The sequence below is a fragment of the Homo sapiens genome, chromosome 12 (assembly GCF_000001405.40).
Source record: "Homo sapiens chromosome 12, GRCh38.p14 Primary Assembly".
Classification (NCBI taxonomy): domain Eukaryota; kingdom Metazoa; phylum Chordata; class Mammalia; order Primates; family Hominidae; genus Homo; species Homo sapiens.
In genome coordinates, this window is record NC_000012.12 from 105,739,777 (window position 1) to 105,762,608 (window position 22,832).

General features: G+C 42.3%; 2 long non-coding RNA genes across 8 annotated transcripts in view, besides 3 other annotated features; one reads left to right on the forward strand and one right to left on the reverse strand.

The window, feature by feature from the left end:
* The window catches only part of CASC18 (cancer susceptibility 18), a 39,861-nt gene extending 35,574 nt beyond the window's left edge, over positions 1–4,287 (forward strand). For all 4 annotated transcript variants that reach the window (NR_110109.1, NR_110108.1, NR_110110.1 and 1 more), the window contains one exon: positions 1,980–4,287. This is a non-coding gene — a long non-coding RNA (cancer susceptibility 18). The remainder of the gene's footprint in view (positions 1–1,979) is intronic.
* LOC107984435 (uncharacterized) overlaps positions 1–22,832 on the reverse strand; it is a 28,065-nt gene that overhangs the window by 943 nt on the left and 4,290 nt on the right. Inside the window, exons 1-3 of one of the 4 annotated variants that reach the window (XR_007063441.1) lie at positions 15,408–15,757; positions 3,053–3,129; positions 1,977–2,081 (exon numbers count right to left, since the gene is read on the reverse strand). This is a non-coding gene — a long non-coding RNA (uncharacterized LOC107984435). Of the gene's footprint in view, positions 1–1,339; positions 2,082–3,052; positions 3,130–15,407; positions 15,758–22,832 lie in introns of those variants that run through there. The other 3 variants (XR_007063440.1, XR_001749305.2, XR_001749303.2) reach the window with 3 other exon arrangements.
* Positions 202–813: an enhancer, noted in NCBI's record as "OCT4-NANOG-H3K27ac hESC enhancer chr12:106133756-106134367 (GRCh37/hg19 assembly coordinates)". NCBI's record gives its function as "activates a minimal SCP1, AML or CMV promoter by ChIP-STARR-seq in naive H9 embryonic stem cells {active_cell/tissue: H9 hESC(naive)}" and the evidence as "EXISTENCE:reporter gene assay evidence [ECO:0000049][PMID:30033119]".
* Positions 814–1,424: an enhancer, noted in NCBI's record as "OCT4-NANOG-H3K27ac hESC enhancer chr12:106134368-106134978 (GRCh37/hg19 assembly coordinates)". NCBI's record gives its function as "activates a minimal SCP1, AML or CMV promoter by ChIP-STARR-seq in naive H9 embryonic stem cells {active_cell/tissue: H9 hESC(naive)}" and the evidence as "EXISTENCE:reporter gene assay evidence [ECO:0000049][PMID:30033119]".
* Positions 4,771–5,314: an enhancer, noted in NCBI's record as "OCT4-NANOG hESC enhancer chr12:106138325-106138868 (GRCh37/hg19 assembly coordinates)". NCBI's record gives its function as "activates a minimal SCP1, AML or CMV promoter by ChIP-STARR-seq in naive H9 embryonic stem cells {active_cell/tissue: H9 hESC(naive)}" and the evidence as "EXISTENCE:reporter gene assay evidence [ECO:0000049][PMID:30033119]".

Sequence of the window (22,832 nt, forward strand, 5' to 3'; positions counted from 1 at the left end):
TTCCTCTCATCTGGACCCTTTGTTCCTTAAGTCTCTGCTCAAACACCACTTCATCGGGACCACCCTACAGAAAACAGTATCCACTCCCCTATGACTCTCTGTACCCTTTACCTGGCTTTATTTTTGTTTTCTACTTTTATCCCCACCTTATCCCATCTGACATAGTCTATATTTGTTCAATTTGCTTATTGTCTATTTTCCTACTAGAATAGAAGCTCAGTGAGAGCTACAACCTCATCTGTTTTTTTCACTGCTTTATATCACAGGGCCTAGAACAGTGGCAGGCACACCGTAGACATCCAATAGACAAGAGTTGAATAGATGAATAAATGATTGAATAAATTCTTGCTTTCTCCAACTTCCAAAATTTGGGAGAGGATGAATGGAAGTTTCCAATTTCAAAGAGCCTTGAGAACAGGAGGAGTCAAATATAAATTATTATTAGCTGTCTTTTGATGTCCTCCCATTTGTAAACGTCCTCTGTTAACTGTGAAGAATAATGCAAATGCGATTGGCCATTATTGTTTTGAAGTAAGGCTCAGTGGGATAGAATTTCCAGTCATTTCTTCCCAAAGGGCCAGAACTGTTTATTTTAAATCCGTTTCTTCCCTGCCTTCAGTTTTGAATGAACATGGCTTTGCTGCTCATAGTTTCCTAATATGTCACTTTGATGGTTTATTTCACCTTAAGTAGCATGGAATTGAAGTCTGAGACTGTATCAGGCTGATTTCAGGTCTCTTTTGCTTCCCTTTGTGCCATCGCAGTAGGGGAGAATTGTCAAGCTGTGCTTGGCCAAGTTAAATGAGGAGACCAGATGGTCAGAAAGAAAGGAATTTTGGTTCAGGTTTAGGAGGAGAAAAGCTGGGGGCAAAACTCCTGCATAGTTTTTGACCTAAAGATCAAAACACTCAGCACTGGGGGTACATTGTTGAATGCTGGGGGACCCCAGCAAAGGTTTGCAATGTAGGAGCTCCTTTTGGTTTTACTCTCCTAGGACTTTCTGCCAAAACTTCAAAATGCTTTTGCTGTGCTGGAGTTTTGGTTATATGGGACTTTTAGTTTTCAGAGAACATTGATTTATGTTAAACACAACAAAAAGGAAAAAAAAAAACGGGAGGTAAAGGAGTCACTTCTGGCTTTTGCTTTTAGCAGGCAATTTTAAGAAAAAAGAAAACAAAATCCAAAACAGGCGGAAGAAAGGATGGAAGGAAACAAAGCAGCGATATAGAAGGCAATTTTTAAGATCTCTATCCCCCAACACAGAAAAGGCAGCTGGTGCAGAAACCCAGAAGCTGTTCCAAGTTGCATTGCAAAGTGGCATCGTGAGCTGTCTGGCACTGAGACAGGATGAGGAGGCAAGAGATAGAAAGTCAGGCAGGAGAAGGTGGCAGGGGTCCAGGCAGGAAGCAGTCTGAGTGTGAACAAGTGTCTTCGTGGTAGGGACAGATGGGAAAAGAGAAATTAGAGAAAATACTGCTGAGAAAGGAAGAGCCTGACTTCTTAACATCCTCTGATAAAGCATTTCATCGCAGCTGGTGTTCAGCAGTCCTTGTTTTTAATATGCTGACTGCTGCGCTCAATATAAAATGGCAAGGCTTCTGCTCTGTGGCCTCAAAGCTTAAATGTTACCCCAAAAGAATAAACATAAGACACTGTTCTAGGAGTATCAGAATGCCAGGGTTGCCAGGGTTGACTGAGCTTGCCCAGGTTTTATTCTGATTGTCTCTAGCGTGCCTTGGTGACCTAATAGCAATGTGGCATGTCTATAGCTGAGATGATAAGCCACTTTCACGTCACCTTCCTCATTTAAGCATTGTAACCACTGTGTGGCATGAAAGTGGAATGAATTCTTACGGTCACCATTACAAAGATGAGAGGACTGAGGCTCACCGAGGTTGGATGGCTTGCCCTCATTTGTAAAAGTGAGATTAGTATCTGGTTTTCTGTCTCCTAATGTTTGCCTTTTCTTTATTTACCAGAGTTAGTTATCAATGCTGACTGAGTGTGCACTCTCCTAGACACCATGGGGAGAGGCAGAAGAGGAAACCAGATATGATCCTTCTTCTTGGGACTCTCCTGACCTAGGAAAAGAGACAGATGAATGCAGATAACTGAGTCTATATACAGAGACTGCCACAAGCTCACACTTTACTGAATGTTCAGACCTAGTCATACATCCTAAGGGCATTGTTGGAAGCTTCTGGAACTAAGTCTCTGGGGATTTGAATCAACTCAGAAGACTGACTCATTCACTTGGCTGTGGAGGCTGTTCCAGATATTAGGAGCTATGTATGTGGAGCCCCGGATTTGGGCCAAAAGATGCATTTGACTGGAGAGAAGGGATTGAGATTTGAGCAGTTGTTGGACAACACAGAAATGAAACAGCCGTAGCAAACTTGCCTGCCGTGATTTCTCTGCTGAGATAATGGGACTTTTCAGACTCCCTGTAACTGAGATCTAGATAAAAAGAGACGTCTGGAAAAAAACTGGTCCCAATTGTCGCTTGGCTTTGCTTTCATAACTATCTGAGTGTGGCATATGTCAGACTTTGAAATGCTGGGTCTCTTGGAAATACAAATACCATCTGGGTCTGGATAATTCCCAGAAACCTAGGCTACTCAGTAGGAAATGAGGAGCTGGAAACATAATACCGAGACCAGGGGCTTGTCCTTGGGCCACCCTGTCTCGTGTCCTGGACACAGTCACATGACTCGTACAGAAAATGTCACTGGGAAGACACCATAAGGCTCATCTTTTCACGACACAGTGACCTCTGTTATGGACATCTTGATTTCTCTTTGAGAAGCCATCCCTCCCCCAGTGTGTATAGTCTAGCAGCCAAGTCCGCCTTGCCTCTGGCCAAGGGCAGCCTGAAACTCAAACAGGGCCCATCCCTTATCCCTGGATGGAAATCTTGAGCAGAGTGCCTGACGGGACTGAAGATGGCTGAAATTCCAGCAAGCAGACAGTGGTTCTCTGAAGAGGCTCCCCTCCGCCCACACCCATGAGTGTCTGCTCCCCAGATGCTCCAATCCTACTTCTCCAGCTTTACCTTCTGTTCCATAAGCTGCTTCATTTTCTTTCTCCAAATCCCTCTTTTGCTGGTTGGACAAAGATTGTTTCTGTTGCCTGCAATCAAATAACCCAAAAGGATGAACAGGTGAAATCATAAACATACTTTTAAGTGCCTGGAATATGCCTGCTTCTGTCCATCTTTCAACCCACTTGCATCAGAAGCCCCCTTGGAGGATGAGAGCCTGTCCTGTGAACCATGGTGGTTCAGAGTGGAACACAGCAGAGTGTGGAACACCAGGAATTTAGAGCAATCAGTGAAATATGATGTAGGCCTCTATGTCAGAAAAATTACTAATAAGCAGTTGATTATTAGTAATCAATAATAGCCTTCCCATTTTATATCGAGCACAGCAGTCAGCATGTTAAAAACAAGGACTGCTGGACACCAGCTGCGATGAAATGCTTTATCAGAGGACGGCCCTTGATGTCTATGTCCATTTGCAAGTGCGGCATTAATTACAAGGCTGGTTTAAGTATAATCAGTAAGTTTATATGCTGGATGCTCAAGATGATTTCTGGCTAAACATGGAATTTCTATTTCTATTTTCCTTATGTTAAAAGCCGGAACAGCAAAATGTATTCCTAATGTCACTATTATGACATTTACATCCCGAAAAGTTGCAGTAACTGATCAATACAATAGTGGAATGCCTGGAAACCTGTTCCTTTTTTGCTAAAAAAAGGAGGGCACTTTTTATGTCTTTGATGTGAAGTTCATGTTCTTTGACAGTGATTGATGGAATATGCTACAGAAAAGGCTGATTACATTTTACTAGAGAAGTAAAAAAGAAATGCAGGAGAATCCCACAGCTCTGGGATTGAATGGAAAGCAAAGGAGGAGCTCCTCTAGGGGGCTATGGGATGCCTCTGTGTAGCTATTGAATCTCTGGGGCCATGGATGAGAATTTGCTTGGTCAGTAGGTCAGCATTCAAGAGTATGGGCTGGATGCAGAGTAAACGACCTGCTGAGAGTAATGGCCACTGCTTTACTTCTGTCTTCAAAATCCTGAACAAGCTCCTCTTTTGGCCAACTCTAACCTGGAACCATGCAGATTAGGAAGAGAAAGAGAAGTGGATTGTGAGAAAGATTTTAGCTTGGTCAAGTTGATAACGGGATGATTCAGAAGAATGCAACCCTTATCAACTAGGTATATCTCTTTTTTCCTACATTTATTGTCCAAATAAAGCAAAATCATGCTTTCACCTGCCTGACATGATGCAACTGTCTTTCATACAAATGAAAACAGATTAGCGCTCTCCGAGATAGTAGACACTGTGTCATTTTATGCATTGCTGGATTATGTTTACCTGCACTACTAGCTGAATTACACTCCCCTTTAATATCCTGTAACTTAAATACCAACATATAAGGCTTACCACTTTTATTACATTTTGTATTACATAGTAAATTAATAGGAGAGGGGGCAAAGAAAGAAAAATTATATATGATATATGAATATATAATTAATAATTATATATTAAATATAATTACAAATATATAATAATTATATATTATATAATAAAATATATAATATAATATATAATATATAATAAAAATGTATATAATACATAATATATATAATATAATATATAACATATAAATATATATACAATACCAAAAAGGAAGCATGTATGTGCTACTTTGAATTCCAAAGCCTAGTACTCAGAAAAACACGCACACACACAGGCAGGCACACATATGCACACATGGGCACACACACAGAGGAGTCCTCTCCACACAATCTCAAAACATCCTGCCAAGCCAATAAAAAACAGTCTTAGCCACTCCAGGAAAAAACAGCCTGAAAACCTTCATGCTTCCTATTTTTATTTTGGAAGAGGAAAGAGAAGAGGTGATAGAGAAAGGGAGAAAAAAGAAGGGGATTGGCAAGGGAACAGCTTGGAGGCTGACGGCTGAACTTCCGGCCTTCTTTTCTTAGATCTTTCAGTACTCCAGGCTCACTACTGATATTTGTCTCCTGTGAGCTGAAACCTCTGGGTACTTGAAAGTCCATCACATCCATTCATGTGCTAAGGCTTCCTTCTTTCCCCCTTCTCGCCCTCTTTTTGCCCTCCCTTCCTAACAAAAGGATTTTCTCTTAACTTGAGTGTGCTGTTCACCCACCTTGGAAGGATCACCATTTCCTGGGCAGGAAATATATAATAATTATATATTATATATTTACTTTATTATATAATATATAATAATTATTCATTATATATTTATATATCATTATACATTTATATATTATATATAATTATATATATAAAACCACATACATATACTCTACCCTCAGTATGTGGTAGTAACTCAGTTTCCCCTTGAGAGGGTCAACTGCCCCCGAGGTGCTACAGTAACCCCTTTCTTCGCTTATCAATCTCCTAGCATGCAGACCTCAAAGTAGTCAGGTGGCAGTGTTAGTTTACAGTTAAAACAGCTGTTGTTTGTCCCTGTGGACAACCCCCTGTGAAAAGCACACAAAACCTGCTCCTGTTTTCTCAAAGCTACAGATGTCTTCTTGGGCTCTCCTTTGGAGCAACTTTCCAATTTCCTCTGAAACATGACCTTGGAATTCAAGGCATATTAAGTCTTTCACACACAAGTTCCATTTGGAAACAAAGAACGTGTAAGAAGAGGGAGGTGGAGGAGGAGAACATTCCTTTTCAAGGAAGGTGAGTTCTTCCAGAGGGGATTATATCACAGTCGTTCCTTGTCCTTGGCCCTAGCACCATCACCATTGTTGTTTGTGGATCTAAAGCTCTATTTTCTGGTGTGATGTGTCATGAAAAAACTAACATGAGAAACCTACATGGAAGAGCAATGAGATCATGTGATTCTTGGGACCTGGTGCTATATTAATTCAGAAATGTGAAATAATTCTGGAAACAAAACCAGGAAAACTATCCTCCAATCTTGCACAGGGCTTCTTTTAAAAATAATAATAATAATTTTATGAAGTTAAAAATAACAAAAATTATAGGTTGACAAAATATTGAACACTTAGTTCAAGACAGAAATTGGTAGAGTAGGGAGAAAGATTTGCATTGGCTGAGTTTTAACTTATAAATCAAGAAAAATCAACAGAGAATTTAATCCAAACATGCACTGCACATAGTTTCTACTGGACTTGTGTTACCGAGGTTAGTGTCGTGGTTGAGTTCGCTAGGAAGGAAGCACGAAAAATTGATGGCATCTGTCCTCTTAGGTCTTTTTTGCTTTCCTGATAGCTACTTCAGAGGCCTTGGCATTTTGTGATAAACTCTTCAGAGGACTGGTGAAAATGTAATCATGGGGGTTGAACAATTGGAAACCAGAAGTCTGTCTGTGTTTCTGGGACTCTTGTGAAGCATTTTCCCCTTGCCGCCAACAAGATCAGAGAATCTGGAGGTTCTATAGTAGTGTTGTCCTAAATAATGGAAAGCCACTAAGATGATAAGAAAGATTCAGAGTCATACCAAACCAGTGAAACTCAGGGTATCCTAGCCTCCTGTCACCACTACCATCTCATTCATTTGTTCAACAAAAACTTAGTAAAACACTGTGGCAGATGCTGTTGGTTATTGTCCATCTCCTTTGGGCCTTGCCACTTGTGTGGACTCCAGCCAACTTCTTCTGCCAGTATCTGTATCTCTTTGTTTGAGGGATTCTCCAAAGCCATTCTGCCACACCCACTTCTAGATGAAGAGGTGAGGAATTGGTGCCACCTGGAGCAGTCCCCCACCAATGATTGGCAAGAGTTTCCTTATAAATACCTCAGCTCCCTTACTCCTAATGCTGAGGTGCATTTCTCTACCATATCCCAGTGTCCCCATGGGACTGAGCTTCTGTGGCCCATGACATTAGCTGCTCTGATGGCACATCCTTTACCATCTGCTTTCCTTCCCTGTGTAGCTCCCCATCCCCTCCCAGTGTTTTCTACACCTCCCGAGTCCACTCTTTCTACTTGCATCCTCACTCAGAGTCTACTCCTGGGGAACCCAAACACCTACTGTGTGCCAGGGATTCACTGATTGAGGATACAGCAGATGATGAGATTTCAGACACCAGTGACAGGCTGGTGGGAAGATGTTTGATGGAAGTTTGAGAATTTATTCTAACAACTTACTTCATAGAATTTGTATGAGGCTTAAACTTATAAAACTCTTAAAAGAGTGTTTGGCATATAGCAGCAACTAAGAAATTATTAGTTATTATATTCATTATTCTGATGAGCTAAGGCATTGGGTGTTTACTAGTTCTCTTGTTAAAATAGAAACTTCTACGCAAAGGTAGTACATTAAGCTCTTAGTGGCCATTAAAGCTTTAAGAGGAGTAGATTTATCAAGAAGCTTTCATCACTGTGCTAGACTTTGAAGGAATGAGTCAAAAGGCAAAGTAAGCTTTAAAGGTGGTGGGGGAAGGAGCAAGAGCTGACTGACGTGAGCCCTGGGATCAGTTCCTGGGATCTCCTGGTAGGCAAGAACCATCCTGGGGCTCCAGGTTGCCTGAGTGCCAAGGCACAGTCTAGAGCAGGCAAATCCAGGCTTCTCTGAGTCCAAAGCCCTCAACAGAAAAGTGGCAGTGCTGAGATTTGAACATAGGTCGCACTCATTCATTTATTCATTTAGCGTTTTCATAGATTTGTTCAATATTTTTTTTTGAGTTGGAGTTTCAAAGGTTATCAGAGGATTCCCAGTGGAAGAGCAAGTATTTATAAACCAATAGTGTGCAATAAAATATCCTAAGTGCTTTGGGAGACCATATGTGTGGGTCAGAAACAAGAGAATGGCTCCTTCTGCCCTGGGAGGAAGGGGAGGAGGGTCAGGAAGAGGGAACTCTTGATCTGAATTGTGACAGGTGGCTGACCCTCCAGCCTACTTCACTCCATTGCATCCCCAGTGCTGGGGCATGGGCAAGTCACTTCATTTCTCTGAACCTCAGTCAGGTTCTTCACTTGTGACATGGGGATCCTCACCCCAAACTCACAGGGCAGCTCTGAGCATTGCAGAAGAGGAGGTGTGGGAAAGTACTGAGCAGCACCTCTGCAAATGCCATTTTCCATGCAAGATGCAGCTAAGAAAACTACTTCTCAATATGAGGATCACCCAGGCCTGAGGGAGCCCTGGCACAGGCTGCATGAGGACATGAGCAGGAGGGCACAGACAAGGAGGAGTCAAGCTCTGGACTCAGATGGCTTCAATCCAAATCTTGGCTTTATTCCTTATTGATTATGTGACCTTGGGCAAGTTCCTGAACTCTTTGAGCTTCAGTAACTTCATCCATGCAGCGTGAGTGATAATATTAATAGTTCTCACCTCTTGGTATTGTTATAAGAATGAAATGAGATAATTTAAGTGCCTGGTGCACAGTAAGCACTCGGTAGATGTCATTATTATTTAGAAGGAACTCCTGGTAGAGGGAAAAATTATGTGACAAGGTTCCTATCCTCTACATGTGGATGACTATCATTCAACAATCTAGGATTGGGTCCAAATGTTCGACACTTTAGATTTAGCGGGCTTTGTGTTTTGACTCACTGGCTGCAGATATTGGCAATGCCTGACTCAGGTACCCTAGACTTTCTTCTCCATAGGCTGAAGGCTCTGTACTGGACACACCTGTGACTCCCTGCCTAAGAGGATGCAAACTTGGTCTGCACACCCGGCAGGCTGAATGTGCCCTTAGACACCATGACAGAAGAAAGCTGATGGATGAGCACCCCAACTTCCTTGCCTTCTTGCTGGGGTGTGATTCTGAGGCATTTCTACAATGACCTTGCTAGTCACCCTGCAAGATTCAGTTCCAGTTTCCCATAGTGGTAACTAGCTGAACAACACACTCCTTATTACCTTCTTTCCCTTCTCTATCTTGGGCTCCCATTCCTCCACTAGTATACTCTAGGATCACCTCCTAAGTAAATTAACTGCACTGAAATCCTTCATTATGGGTCTGTTTCTGGGAGAACCCAAACCAAGACACTCACTGGCATGTGCCTCTAAACAAGTTCAACACGGGCCAAATGAAGTGCAAGGTCATATAGCTACCTGCATATAATCACAACTGTCTAGACAGCCAGTTCAGGCCCAAGCAGATTTTTGCTTGCTTGAGTTATTTGGGTTGGCTTGGCCAGGCAGTCCTGGACTCCCTCCAAAATTCTTCCAGCCCCCGCTTTCCTTTCGTCTCAGAGACTTAACCTCCGAAGCTGGCAGGCCTCAGATGGGAACAACACAGGATTCTGCGAAGGGTGAAATGTGGGCTGCTCCTGTGAGCAAGCACAGGATAGAAATGCAGCTTTTCTCTTGTTCTCAAAATGAAACACCAAGGCCCTCCCATCTGCTCTGAGTCCAGAGATGAGGCTCAAACAGTTCTCCGGAATCAAAGCCACTATCAAAGGTGAGATATCAACACAGAGTTGGAGATATGTATGGGAATGGGAGCAAGTCGTCACCACTTGGAAACACTAATAGCAGGTCCACCCTGGGGTCATTCACATCTGGCTCCCACGTTACTCTCATGACTATACAGCAGAGGTGATGTGATTCATGCATTTATTATGATGCCCAGGCCCTCGTGAAAAGTCTGCCAGCTGAGCAGATGGAAAGCACCAAATTCATCTCAAATTCAGAGGTGGGAAGGAGATTTAATCATAGCAGCCCTCCTCTTCTCAATAGATCCCCTTTGAGAAGGAGCAGGGAGGAGCCAGGATCTCAACATTGCAGAACTAGAAATGAGAGGGCATGGATTTCAAGAGAAGACAGAAGCCATTGAGGTAGTAAAGAAAAGTGAGCATTTATTGAGGGCCTCACATGTGCTGAGCCTTGCGCTAAGTAAGCACATCATACACATGATTGTAGTTAGTCTCTCTCCCTTTCTCTCTTTCTCTCTCTGACTCGCTCTCTCTCTCTTTCTCTCTCTCCTTCTGTCTTTCTCTTTTGCATATATTATCCAGGTTTAGAGATGGGAAAATTGAGATTTAGAAAGGATAATTTTTTTGCCCAAGATCACTTGTGCAAAAAGAGGGTAAAAGAAATGAGGTTTGACCTAGGTGTAACTTACCCTAAGTTTGTGTTCTTATCCATGGCACTTAGAAAGCCTGACTCATTAGAAAACCATGAATTGTGACCCTTCTGGTCCTCATTACCAGGTCTGGCAATAGACATTTGGGGGTAAATGTACCCCCTGTTAAGTACTAGCATGGAAGATACAAAGATAAATAAAAATGGGCCCTCCTTCCTTATTATCACTTTGATTTTTTTTCTTTCTGTGCCTTTTATCACCACATTCAATTATCCAACAAGCTTCTTTCACAAAGTCATCCAGACTTTGACCTTCCTTTTGACTTCCCGAGTCACCAGGTGATGGGTCCTCATCACGTCTCCTCTGGGAGTGTCATGGCCTCAGCCACCTGGTGACCTTTCTGCCTTCAGTTTATTGGGATAACCTTTTGAACCATAACCTCTGCAATGTCACCTGATAGGCAGAAGCTGACATCTATTCCCTCTGCTATCATTGGGACACACAGGGAGAGAGGACAGGATTGGGAAATGAGTGGCTCAGAATCTGGCCTTGCTCTGCCATTAACTGCTGGGTGACTTTGACCAAGTCACTTCTCTTTTGGGGCCTCAGGTTTTCATCTGTAAAATGGAAGAATGGGATTTAGGGGTTTGAATTTCCTGGGAGTGTTTTATGGGCCTCTTTACAGGGTTTATTCATTCATTATTCATTAAGCCCCCAATATGTGCCAAGGATTGTTCTTAGCAACAGGGATTGAGCAGTGAATAAAAACAGAAAAAGCACCTGCTTTTGCTAAGCTTACTTACTTTCTAATCAGGGAGACCAGCCAGGGTGGTGGCTCACACCTGGAATCCCAGCACTTGGGGAGGCTGAGGCAGATGGATCACTTAAGGCCAGGAATCTGAGACCAGCCTGGTCTGGCTGGTACAAAAATAGAAAAATTAGCCAGGTATAGTGGTGCATGCCCATGGTCCCAGCTACTTGGAAGGCTCAGATGGAAGGATCACCTGAGTCCAGGAGGTCAAGGCTGCAGTGAGTCGTGATCATGCCACTGCCCTCCAGCCTGGGTAACATAGTAAGATTCTGTCTCAAAAATAGACAGAATGATAGATAGATAGATAGATAGATAGATAGATAGATAGATAGATAAAGGAGACCAACAGTAACACATAATCTATTTCAGGTAATTGTCAGTGCTGAGAAGAATAACAAACTGGATAAGGACACAGGGAGACAGGGTGCTATGCTAACTAGCTGGCCAGGGAAGGACTTATGGTGGTGTGACAAAGCCAGGCCTGAAGGCGGTGAGGGGCAGAGTCATGCAGGTGGGTAGGGTGGAATTCTCCAGGTAGAAGGAACAGCCTATGCGAAGGCCATCATGGGTGTGAGCATGGCATATGTAAGTAACAAGAAAGGGGCCAGGCGTGGTGGCTCATGCCTGTAATCCCAGCGCTTTGGGAGGCCGAGGCAGGTGGATCACCTGAAGTCAGGAGTTCAAGACCAGCCTGACCAACATGGAGAAACCCTGTCTCAACTAAAAATACAAAATTAGCCGGGCATGGTGGTGCATGCCTGTAATCCCAGCTACTCATGAAGGCTGAGGCAGGAGAATCGCTTGAACGCCGGAGGCAGAGGTTGCAGTGAGCCAAGATTGTGCCATTGCACTCCAGCCTGGGCAACAAGAGCAAAACTCTGTCTCAGAAAAAAAAAAAAAGTAACAAGAAAGGGACCAGTGAGGGAAGTGGAGTCACTTACAGCATGGCAGGGAATACTGTTAGAGACTTGATGAGGCACATGGTCATAGAGAGCTTGGAAACCCTGTAGGACTATTGGAACTCACCAGAGGGTTCGAAGGAAAGGAATGACAAGACCCAACTTAACATTTAAAAATGTAGCAATCGAGTGTAGATTATCAAGAGGGAATTAGGGAGATCAGTTAGAAAACTTTTGCAAAATCCAGATCAGAGAGGGTGGTGACCTGACCAGCATAAGAACTGTGGAAGAGAAATGCTCAAATGTGGAGTCACACTGGCAGGATTTGCTGATAAATGGAATGTGGAGAGAAAAGGGAGGCAAGGCTTATGGCCTGCAAAGCTAGAAAAATTAATTGCCATTTACAGAGATGCGAAATTCTGGGAGGAGGAGCAGGTTTGGGGGGCGGTAAGGAGTTTGGTTTTGAACACTTTAAGTTCAATAGCTAGTAGACATGTGATGTAATAGTAGACATGTGTAGCTAGTAGACATTTGCTTTATAAGTCTAGCATGCTGAGAAGCTGTCTGAACTGGAGAAAGAAATTAGTGGCTCATCAGCATTAGGGATGGTGTTTAAGTGGTGACACTGACTGAGCTTAAGTAGGGAATAAGTATGCATAGCAGACTGGGCTATGGATCACAACAGCATTTAATGACAGGGAAGAAGGGAGAACCCAGTAAAAGAGGCTGAGGAGGAACAACCTGCAAGATAGAAAGAAGATTGAGAAAGGGGCATCCTAAACTAAGGGGACAAGCCTTCAAAGAAGAGGATGTGATGAGCCGTAGCCAATGCTGCTAACAGGGCAAGACGGAGGAGGACTGAGAAGTGACCACTGGATTTGGTATCATGAGGGCCATTGATTGCCTTTTAAGTGTGATTTCAGTGAACTGGAAAGTTGTGAAGAAGGCTAAGTGTGCAGAGCTCTGACCCCTTCCTTGGTCCCCTCCAGCCAGTGGCAAAATCTTGGCTCACTGCAACCTCCGCTTCCTGGGTTAGAGCGATTCTCCTGCCTCAGCCTCCTGAGTAGCTGGGACTACAGGTGCACGGCACCACACCTGGCTATTTTGTGTGTGTGTGTGTGTGTGTGTGTATTTTAGTAGAGACGGGGTTTCACCGTGTTGCCCAGGCTGGTCTCGAACTCCTGAGCTCAGGCAATCTGCCTGCCTCAGCCTCCCAAAGTGCTAGGATTACAGGTGTGAGACACCATGCCTGGCCAAGTTTTATCAAAAGAAAATAGATCCTCAATAATCTGGACACCAAGAGAAGAATGGAGACTTTTCTACCTCAATGTGAGTTGTAGAGGAGAGAGGAAGTTTCAGTCCTCCAGACCTTCAGACCACCTGGTCCACCATCCTTAGGAGACTAGATGAGAGGCAGCTGGGCTAGGGTAGGCTGAAGGAAGAGGTCAGGGTGGGATCTTGAAGGATGCTGTATTAGTCTGCTCTCACACTGCTAATAAAGACATACATAAGACTAGGTAATTTATAAAGAAAAAGGTTTAATGGACTTACAATTCCGCATGACTAAGAAGGCCTCACAATCATGGCAGAAGGCAAAGGAGGAGCAAAGGCACATCTTACGTAGCGGCAGGCCAGAGAGCGTGTGTAGGGGGAACGGCCCTTTATAAAACCATCAGATCTCGTGAGACTTATTCGCTATCACAAGAACAGCATGGGAAAAAGCCGCCCCCAAGATTCAATGACCTCCACCTGGGTCCCTCCCATGACACGTGGGGATTATAGGAGCTACAATCAAGATAAGATTTGTGGGGGGACACAGCCAAACCATATCTGATGCCTTTGGGGTGTTAAATAAGAGGAAACCTTGCTGGTAAGATAGGGTACACAGAAAAGCACACAGAGGGAACCGGAGCTCAGAATCCAGAGGCTGGCAGGCACCAGGGAGCTTTGTGGGAGCCAAGCTATAGCCTGCAACTCATCTGTTTCAATTGCATTAGCAACACATACCACCATCACCTGGGAGGAACCACATAGCTGCTCTGTCTGATGAGCTTTTGCCACCACCTATCTTACCAATTTTGTTGGATTTTCCAGCTGAAAAGATTCCTGCTCATGCTCTTAAAATTTTGCAGCTCTGATCCTCACTACCCAATTGGACACACTGCTTTTTAATGACTCAGGACACTTGTAAATCCCCTGAAACAGCATGGGTGAGAAGGTGGTGCTCTTGATACCCAATGGGACCAGGAGATATAGATGAGAAATTCTCCAGCAGTAGCACCTGGATTGAGTTGGACAATGATGAGAGTCACCTCAGATACAAGAGATTTTATTTGAGAAAATATTTTTGATCTTAAAAGTGTTTAGGAAGATTCTGGTTTCAGCTTCAACATGTAAAGAGCTTAGAAGTTGTCACTCCCATCCTCACAATGAGAAAAAAGATGAAAAAACTGAAAAGCAATTATTTTTCTTAGACCCATCAGAGATCTGAGATTACAGAGGAAACCACCACCCTGAAATCTGGAGAGTTCTTAGGAAGCCCAAAGACAATAGAAAACCCAAAACAAGGACAAGAGAGACGAATTTGAAGCCTGTGGCACCCACAGATACAGCAAACATTAAACGCAGTCCAACATGTAGCCAGGTTAACATACATCCTCACATTAGAGGCCTATTTACCTTTGTTCCTATTACCAGATACAACATATTCAGCTTTCTACAAAAAATTGCAAGGCATTCTAAAAGTCAAGGGGAAACAGTCTGAAGAGTCAATCTGAGCAGCAAAACCAGACTCAGCCATAACACAGATTTTGGAACTATCAGCCACATGATCAAGGCCAACGTCAACAGTGATGTTGAGACAGAGAGTTCCCTGGACCCCTTCGTGGGACTTGTGACAGGGGTGGGGCTTTCTTACTCGGCCACTGTGCTCAAACTCCTTGCAGGAGCGGGAGCAAGTAGGTGGTGGGTGCCGGGGCCGGGGCAAGTAACTTTTGGCCTCTGGCCCCATGGTAGCACCTAGGGGTGTGTTACAATTAATGCTCTTTTAGCAGTTGCTGTCCACAGATAGCTAAGTATTAACCAGCTCAGTGGAGAGTCGGGGTGACAGCCTTTTACACTCTGCCCTTTTGGTACCAGTTCCTTGTCCGGTGTCCAGGAAGAATCAGGTCACAAAGACTTGAAGGATGGTGAATGTGGAGGTTTTTTTGAGTGATGGAGGTGGCTCTCAGCTGAATGGGGCACTGGAAAAGGGATGGAGTGGGAAGTCAATCTTCCCCTGGAGTTAGGCCATCCCTGGCCGAACTCCTTTCTGACCATTTAGCTGTCTCTTCAATGTTCAGGCACTTATTTTCTCTCCTCTACTGTGCTGCTCTGCTCCTCTGCCAGTGGAGTTTAGGTTTTTTATGGGTACAGGATGGGGGCGTGGTGGGCCAGGGTGGTTTTGGAAAAAGCAACATTTGGGCAGGAGAATATGGGTGTGAAGTTCTCATTTAGGACGGCAGGCTGAGGCTCGTGGGTGGGGCCTTTGCTGAGGAACCGTTCTCTCCTATCCGGTATTTCCCTGCTTCCTGTCCGTATCAATAGTAGGTACCCTTGATATGATGTGATGAAAATGATACTTTACCTCTGTGGTCTTCATCCCAAGAACAGATCGCTCCAGTCTAATCTGAGGAAAACATCATCTATAACCATACTAAGGGATGTCCTCCACAATATCTGCCCGGTACTCTTCAAAACTGTCAAAGTCACCAAAAACAAGAAAAGTCTAAGAATCTCTATCAAGAGGAACCTAAGGAGATGTGACTATTAAATTAATGTGACATCCTAGATGGAATTCTGGAACAGAAAAAATACATTAGGTAAAAACTAAGGCAATCTGAATAACAATCTGAATAAACTAAGTTAATAATAGTTTATGAACCGTGATTGATTAATTGTAACAAATGCACCATAATAATGTAAGATGTTAAAAATAGGGAGAATTGGTGTGGGGTATATGGGTACTCTCTGTACTATCTTTACAATTTTTCTGTAAATCTAAAACTGTTCTAAAAATGAGATCTCTTCAAAGAAAAAAAATGTTTTGCAGCACCTGGGCTATTCATCACCAAGGTGTCTGTAGCGCTAATAAACTAAGGGTTTTTTTTGGTTTTGTTTTAACTGTTCCATCTAGGGAACCCAGAGGCCCAACTTATTCCTTGGTCCACTGTATAAATACAAAAAATTGAAAACCCTGGGTGAAAAAAGATGTGGGCAAGGATGTGAGCAAGATGTGAGCAAAAAGATGTGAGCAGGATGTGAACAAGAATGAAAAGGCTGCCAAAATTGATTTTCAAAAGACAGAAAATTGTGATGCTTAAGAGCACAGTCTCTACTATTGATTAGCTGAGTGACCTTAGGCAAGTTATTCAACCCCTCTAGGCCTCAGTTTTCTCATCTGTAAAATGGTGATAATAACAAGAGTATCTAGCTCTCATAAGACCATTATCAGGATTAAATGATACAATGTATGATGGTTACAACAGTCTCTTGGGACATGCAAAGTACTATAATATAATATTATATATATTATATATATATAAATGTGGAATAAACAAAAGGTAATTATCTGAAATTAGCAGTCTATGTGGAAGCTGTAGGGTCTGTGGCCAGAATATGGTAGTTATTGTACTATCTGTATTTCCATTAAGAAAAAAACAAAAAGCACAGACAAATCCCCATGACTTTCTTTTTTTAATTTTTTTGTTTGTTTGTTTTTGAGACAGAGTCTCGCTCTATCACCCAGGCTGGAGTGCAGTGGCACGATCTCGGCTGACTGCAAGCTCCGCCTCCCAGGTTCACGCCATTCTCCTGCCTCAGCCTCCTGAGCAGCTGGGATTACAGGCGCCCACCACCACCACTCCGGCTAATTTTTTTTTTTTGTATTTTTAGTAGAGACAGGGTTTCACCGTGTTAGCCAAGGTAGTCTCGATCTCCTAACCTTGTGATCCGCCCACCTTGGCCTCCCAAAGTGCTGGATTACAGGCGTGAGCCACCGCACCTGGCCTTTAATATTTGTTTTGAAATGGAGTCTTGCTATGTTGTCCAGGCTGGCCTCAATTCCCAGGCTCAAGTGGTCCTTTTACCTCAGCATCCCATGTAGCTGGGCCTACAGGCATATAACACCACACCCAGCTTAAATTTTTCCTGAAGATTTATTTACTACCAAGTGAGAAAATTTTATTTGTCTGACATTGTACTAATCATTTTGCATGTATTTAATGCATTTTGTTAAATACACACAAAGCTCCCATTTTCTGATACTTTCATTTATTTTCCTTTTTTAACAACTGGGAATGTCTATTCAGCCCATACTGAAACTACCTGGACTGCCCACTGAAACTGGACTGCTCCAAAATGCCCATCCTTCCCTAGTTCAAGCACATCCTGCAGCTGAACCATGAGGCTACCAAGGGAAAAATGTGTTTTCAGCTTCATTCTGTCGTAATCCAACAGTAGCACTTTTTGAGGAAAGCTTATTTCCAGGCTCCTGTGTCCTTTCCTCTTCTCTTTGAGCCAGTTTTGCCTCTCCTATCCTAGGAATGAAGTGTCATAGCCGGTGAGGTTGCCCAGATTACATTCTGATGATGTGTGGGGCTCAGAAAGCTGGAAATGAAGAGCAGGGCGGAATGACTTTGCCTGCCCAGCTTCTCTTCCTTACAAGCCTGTTGCCTGCCGCTGTGGCCATTTTTCCAACCATGAGCTTCAGCTGAGAATCTTCCATCCTCAGGTGTCAATTTATTTTCCTAAGTTGGAGGCTTGGTCTTGGTGTCTGGAAAGCAATTTGGATGTTCATGGTGGCTAAAGCTATCCAGTGGAAACATAAGTCACCATCGAGTAATGAGACCAGACTATTGGGTGTCTCATATCCCGGCTGCAAATGCAGATGCCAAAGAGTTCAGGAAAGATTTCAACACAGGCAGTATTGTTGGAATAAGTGACAGTTGCCATGATGACTTAGGGGCCAACACCTATTTGGATGTGTGAGATCTGGTGTTTTAAAACATCAGTTTCATTATTTATTGATGGACCTGATGCTTCCAATATGGTTGATGGGGGAGTTGAATCCTAGGAGCACCATAGCAACATATTGCTTAATTCTCTATCATTCTGTTATTTATCTTCCTAGGACTGGCTCAACAAATGGTCCCAATTCTTAACTAATTTTATTCTTCTTGAAGGAGCAACACTTGTATTTCTTAATCACCGTTATGGCCTGGATTCATGGCAAAGTCCACTTAATTCTGCCTCCTAATTACTATCATATCTACCCTTTCCATCACCATCTTAGCTCCTATCTCAGGCTCTCCACAGATTTTTTTTCTATGCTAATGTAATCTTTTCCTTATTAGTCTTCTCTGTGGTTAGCCTCACTGCTGTCCTCAACCCAATGCATTCTTCATCTTGCATACAAAGTGACATTTTACAGATACATCAGAAATACATACTAATATTTTATTTATATAATTAATAAACGCTGATGCCTCTTAAAGTGTAGGAAGATCTTTCTTTGGCAGGTCTTTCTTTGCTGAGTAAAGTGATGGGAATGGAAGTGCTAGAATAGCGCTCAATTGTTCTGCATGAGAAAGAGGAAGAGATAGAGGGATGGGGAGCAAGGAAGCATGATTCCTGAATAAAGACCTAGAGTCAGAGGAAATTACAGGCTTGGAAGGGAGAGGACGCAGAGAAAGATGGGGACTCAGCTAGGAGCCAAAGGAGGGAATGAGGAACGGGGATTTGAGGAGTGTCATTCTGTACACCCTGAAATCTGACTTCCTCCCCAATCTGACACATGAAACTTCCAGTTTCTGTAGTGACGTAGAAATCTCTACATTGTACAAATGTAGAGAAAAATCTTCATTTTTCACTAATGTATTGTTGAGGAGATTGTTCTTTTGGGGAAATGAGTGGAAGCACCATGTCACGCTACAAGAACGGTGGGAAGCAAACCAACACCAAGACAGGATACAGAGTTGACCAATCTGTGTAATGCACACATCCAATCCCTGCTCCTCTGACAAAGTCTCCTATGGATTCCCATCCTCGATAAGTGGGAGCGGGGGCCTGAAACATTTTAGCATGGAATACCAGATCCTTCCTGATCTAGTCTATACATATCTGTCCAACTGTATCTTGTAAGCACCTCTTCTCAGTCTCACATACACACACATACATCCTTTATACACTAGAGCAATACAAGGACTACAAGGAAGGTATATCCTATTTCACCCTGCTAGACTATTCTTTCCCCACTCTTATTCAGTTGGAAAATGCCTCCTTCTCCTCCCTCAAGCAGATTTAGGTACTCCTTCCCCTGGGCTCTCATTTTACCTTGAAAGGCATACACTTTTGTTTTATCATCACACTGTTTTGTAATTGTATATTCACGTGCCCATCTCCCTAACATGACCATAATCTCCTTGAAGCCACATGTAGTTTTATCCTATGAAAAACTTCTAGCACCTAGCAAAGGATTAGGCATTTAGTCTGATGTTTGGTGAGTACATTTACCTTCTAAGGCTTGTAAGTGTTATAGAGGAGCTACCAAAGAAAAACTGACAAGAGGAAAAATTGGTCTTCTAAAAACTTGCCCAATATTTACAGTTTCTCTCATCATGAAGACTGTTACTTTGGTGATCCTCAATAAACCATGACTCCTAGCGTTCCAACTCTTGTGCCAGCCTTCCCAACGTTGCCTCTGGTCTTGGCCATGTTAGCTTTGGCCACTGGAATATTGGCAAGGATGAAGACAGCAGACGCTGGACCAGTGCTTGTATACTGGGTTTGTCCACTTGGAGTGCTCTTTCTTGGAACCCAGATGCCATGTTCCGTGTAAGTCCAAGAAGCCATGTGAAGAAAAGCCAAAGCCCCTGGATGATAGTCCCAGGTGAGCATCCAGCTGAGGACCACCAACAACTTTGACGCTCACAGTCATCAAAATCATCCTTGGCTAAAACCATTGTATGTCTCTCTTAAAAGCCATATTAAAGGCATATTAAAGGTTTAACTGTATTGATAAAATGCCACTGCCCATGGAAAAGAATGAAACCTCCTTTACAAAAGAATCATTACAATTGCCAAAAAAAATCTGAAACTCATTTATTCATTGGAGATGTTATGGTGGAAGCCTTTTATTAGTTAATGCATCTCTATATTGAGATTACAAGCACATCGTACGATCGCTGGGGAGAGGTATGGGTCCAATTAGTGAAGGGGGTGAATTCTCACAGGAGAAAAGAAAGTGATAGGGGGCCGAGCTGTTCAGGTGGTGGTTCCTACATGACCATAGTCCCATTTCCCTTATCGGCATCCTCATTTTCTGGTATTTCAACATGGATTCGAGTGTTTTGAAAAAAAAAAAAAAAAAAAGAACATTATAGAAAGAGCAGGCTCAAGAATCACAGTCCAAGTCTGGGCACAACTACATGGAGCAGCTATAAGGGTTTCATACTAGTCAAGGTTCTCCAGAGAAACAGAGCCAATAGGATGGGTGGATGGATGGGATAGATAGATAGATAGATAGATAGATAGATAGATAGATAGATAGATAGATAGATATTGGTAAATATATAGATAATGATGGATAGATAGATAGATAGATGTTGGTAAATATATACATACTGATGGGTAGATAGATAGAGAGACAGATAGGTTTAGTATGAGAAATTAGCTCACATGATTATGGAGGAGGAAGAAGACCCATAGTCTGCCATCTGTAAGCTGGAGACCCAGAAAAGATGGTGGTATAGTTAAGTCCAAGTCCAAAGCCCTAAGAACCAGGGGACTCAATGGTGTACATCTCAGTCCAAGGGCAGGAAAAGAACAATGTCCCAGATCAGTCAATCAGGAAAAAGGAACCTATTTTCCCTTCCCCACCTTTTGTTCTATTCAGGCCCTCATGACTTGGATGATGCCACCCACTTTGGGGAGGGTAATCTGCTTTAGAGTTTACCAGTTCAAGTGCTAATATCCTCCCTCACATACATGCCCAGAAATAGTATTTAGCCAAATATCTGGGTACCCCACATTTCAGTTAAGTTGACACATAAAATTCACCATCACAGATTTCACCCAAGCTGAACTTGAGCCCCAGACTGTAGATGCACATGTGTGGACGCATATGTGTGTAGGTCTCTGTAGTATCATATATTTTATACATACTATTAATATATTTTATGTATATACACTATTCATTTGTTCATTCACAAATATTTTAAAAGTACCGTCTATGATTTAAGTTCTGGCTGGGTATTAAACAGTGAACAAGACAAATACGATCTCTACCCAGAGCTTATGTCATCACATTTTACAAAACAACTAAGTCCTATAGACAAATAAAGCAGTGATAAATAACTGATAAAAGTTATGAAAAGGAAGAGACACATCATAGTAATTTTATACATGAAAAATGTATCCCTTAGGTGTAGGGCCTACACCTTCACTATGTAAACTTTTATGTTTTTCTAGTTTCAATAAAAGATTAGCATTTGGTATTTAAATGCACATTTAAGGGAACAATGATCTCAATGACTCCACAGTTAAGTATTCCTAAAGGAAGTTTACTACTCAAATCATGAGATATCATCACTATCCTCCTAGGGACAGTATGCACCAAGTACAGGAAGGTTACTCAAAACTTACTAAAAAAGGGACAAAAAGGAGCGTTGGGAATCCTAACCACCTCTCCTCCAAAGATTCTATTTCAAACCTAACTTTCCTGGTACTCTGCCAAACAAAACAATATAAACACCCAGATACAAAAGGAGCAGCTTCTATTGTCTAATTCCCTGTATGGATAAGCTGGTTGCCAGCTCTATAAATATTTAATAAGAACCAAGCTCAACTAGACCCATTAATGACTCTTTGAAAGTATTTTTATTATGAATTAGCATGAGATACATGTAAAAGAATGCATGAAACTTTGCTTCCAGCCCCTGAATTTTGTGAGTTCTTTGAATCACACTCTGCTCTCTGTTTATGGAGTTTTCTGTTTCTTGCAATGAAAGGAACTGTGAACATAAGATGTAACTAAAGAAAGTGGAAAAACAATATCAATATCTAGCAGTTTTTGAGCCCTCCTTATGAGCTAGTTACTGTGCTGTGGGATGCTCATGCCTCATTTTATCAATCTGCCCCAAACCTTTGATGAGGTAGTTGTATCATCCTCTTCCTCTTTGTGTTTTGTTTTCTTAACATTTTTTGCTTGTTTGTTTTTGTAACAGCTTTATTGAGATATAATTTACATACCAAACAATTCATCCATTTAAAGTGTACGATTCAGTGGTTTTTTTGCACATTGACAGAGTTGTGCAATTATCAACACTATTTTAGAAAATTTTTAATCACTGCAAAAAAAAGCCCCTCTGTAACCTTTAGCTATTGCTTTGCTTTGAATGTGGCGTCTCTTAAAAAGTTATGAGTATGTTGAAACTTAATACTCATTAAGGTGGTAATAAGAGGAGGGCCTTTTGGGAAGTGATTAAGTCATGAGGACTCCACCCTTATGAATGGATTACTACCTGTATAAAAGAGGCTTCAGAGAGAGTTTGCCCCTCTTGCCTTCCACCTGCTGCTATATGAGGACACAGCAGCAAGGTGCCATCTTGGAAGCAGAGAACAGCCCTCGCCAGACACCAAAATTGGTGGCTTCAGAACCGTAAGAAGTAAATTTTTGTTCTTTATAAATTACCCAGTCTGTGGTATTTTCTTATAGCAGCATAATTGGACTAAGAGAGCTATTATCCCTAATCCCTCATCATTTCCCCTGTCACTAGACTACTAGTAATCCACTTTCTATCACTATACATTTTCCAACTCTAGACATTTCATATAAACAGAATCATACAGAATGTAGTCTTTTGTGACTGGCTTCATTCATGTGCTGTAGCGTGTTTTCAAGGTTTATTCATGCTGTAGTATGTTTCAGCACTTCATTTCTTTGTATGACTAATATTCCATTGTGTGTATACATCACACTTTGTTTATCCATCATCTGTTGACGGACATTTGT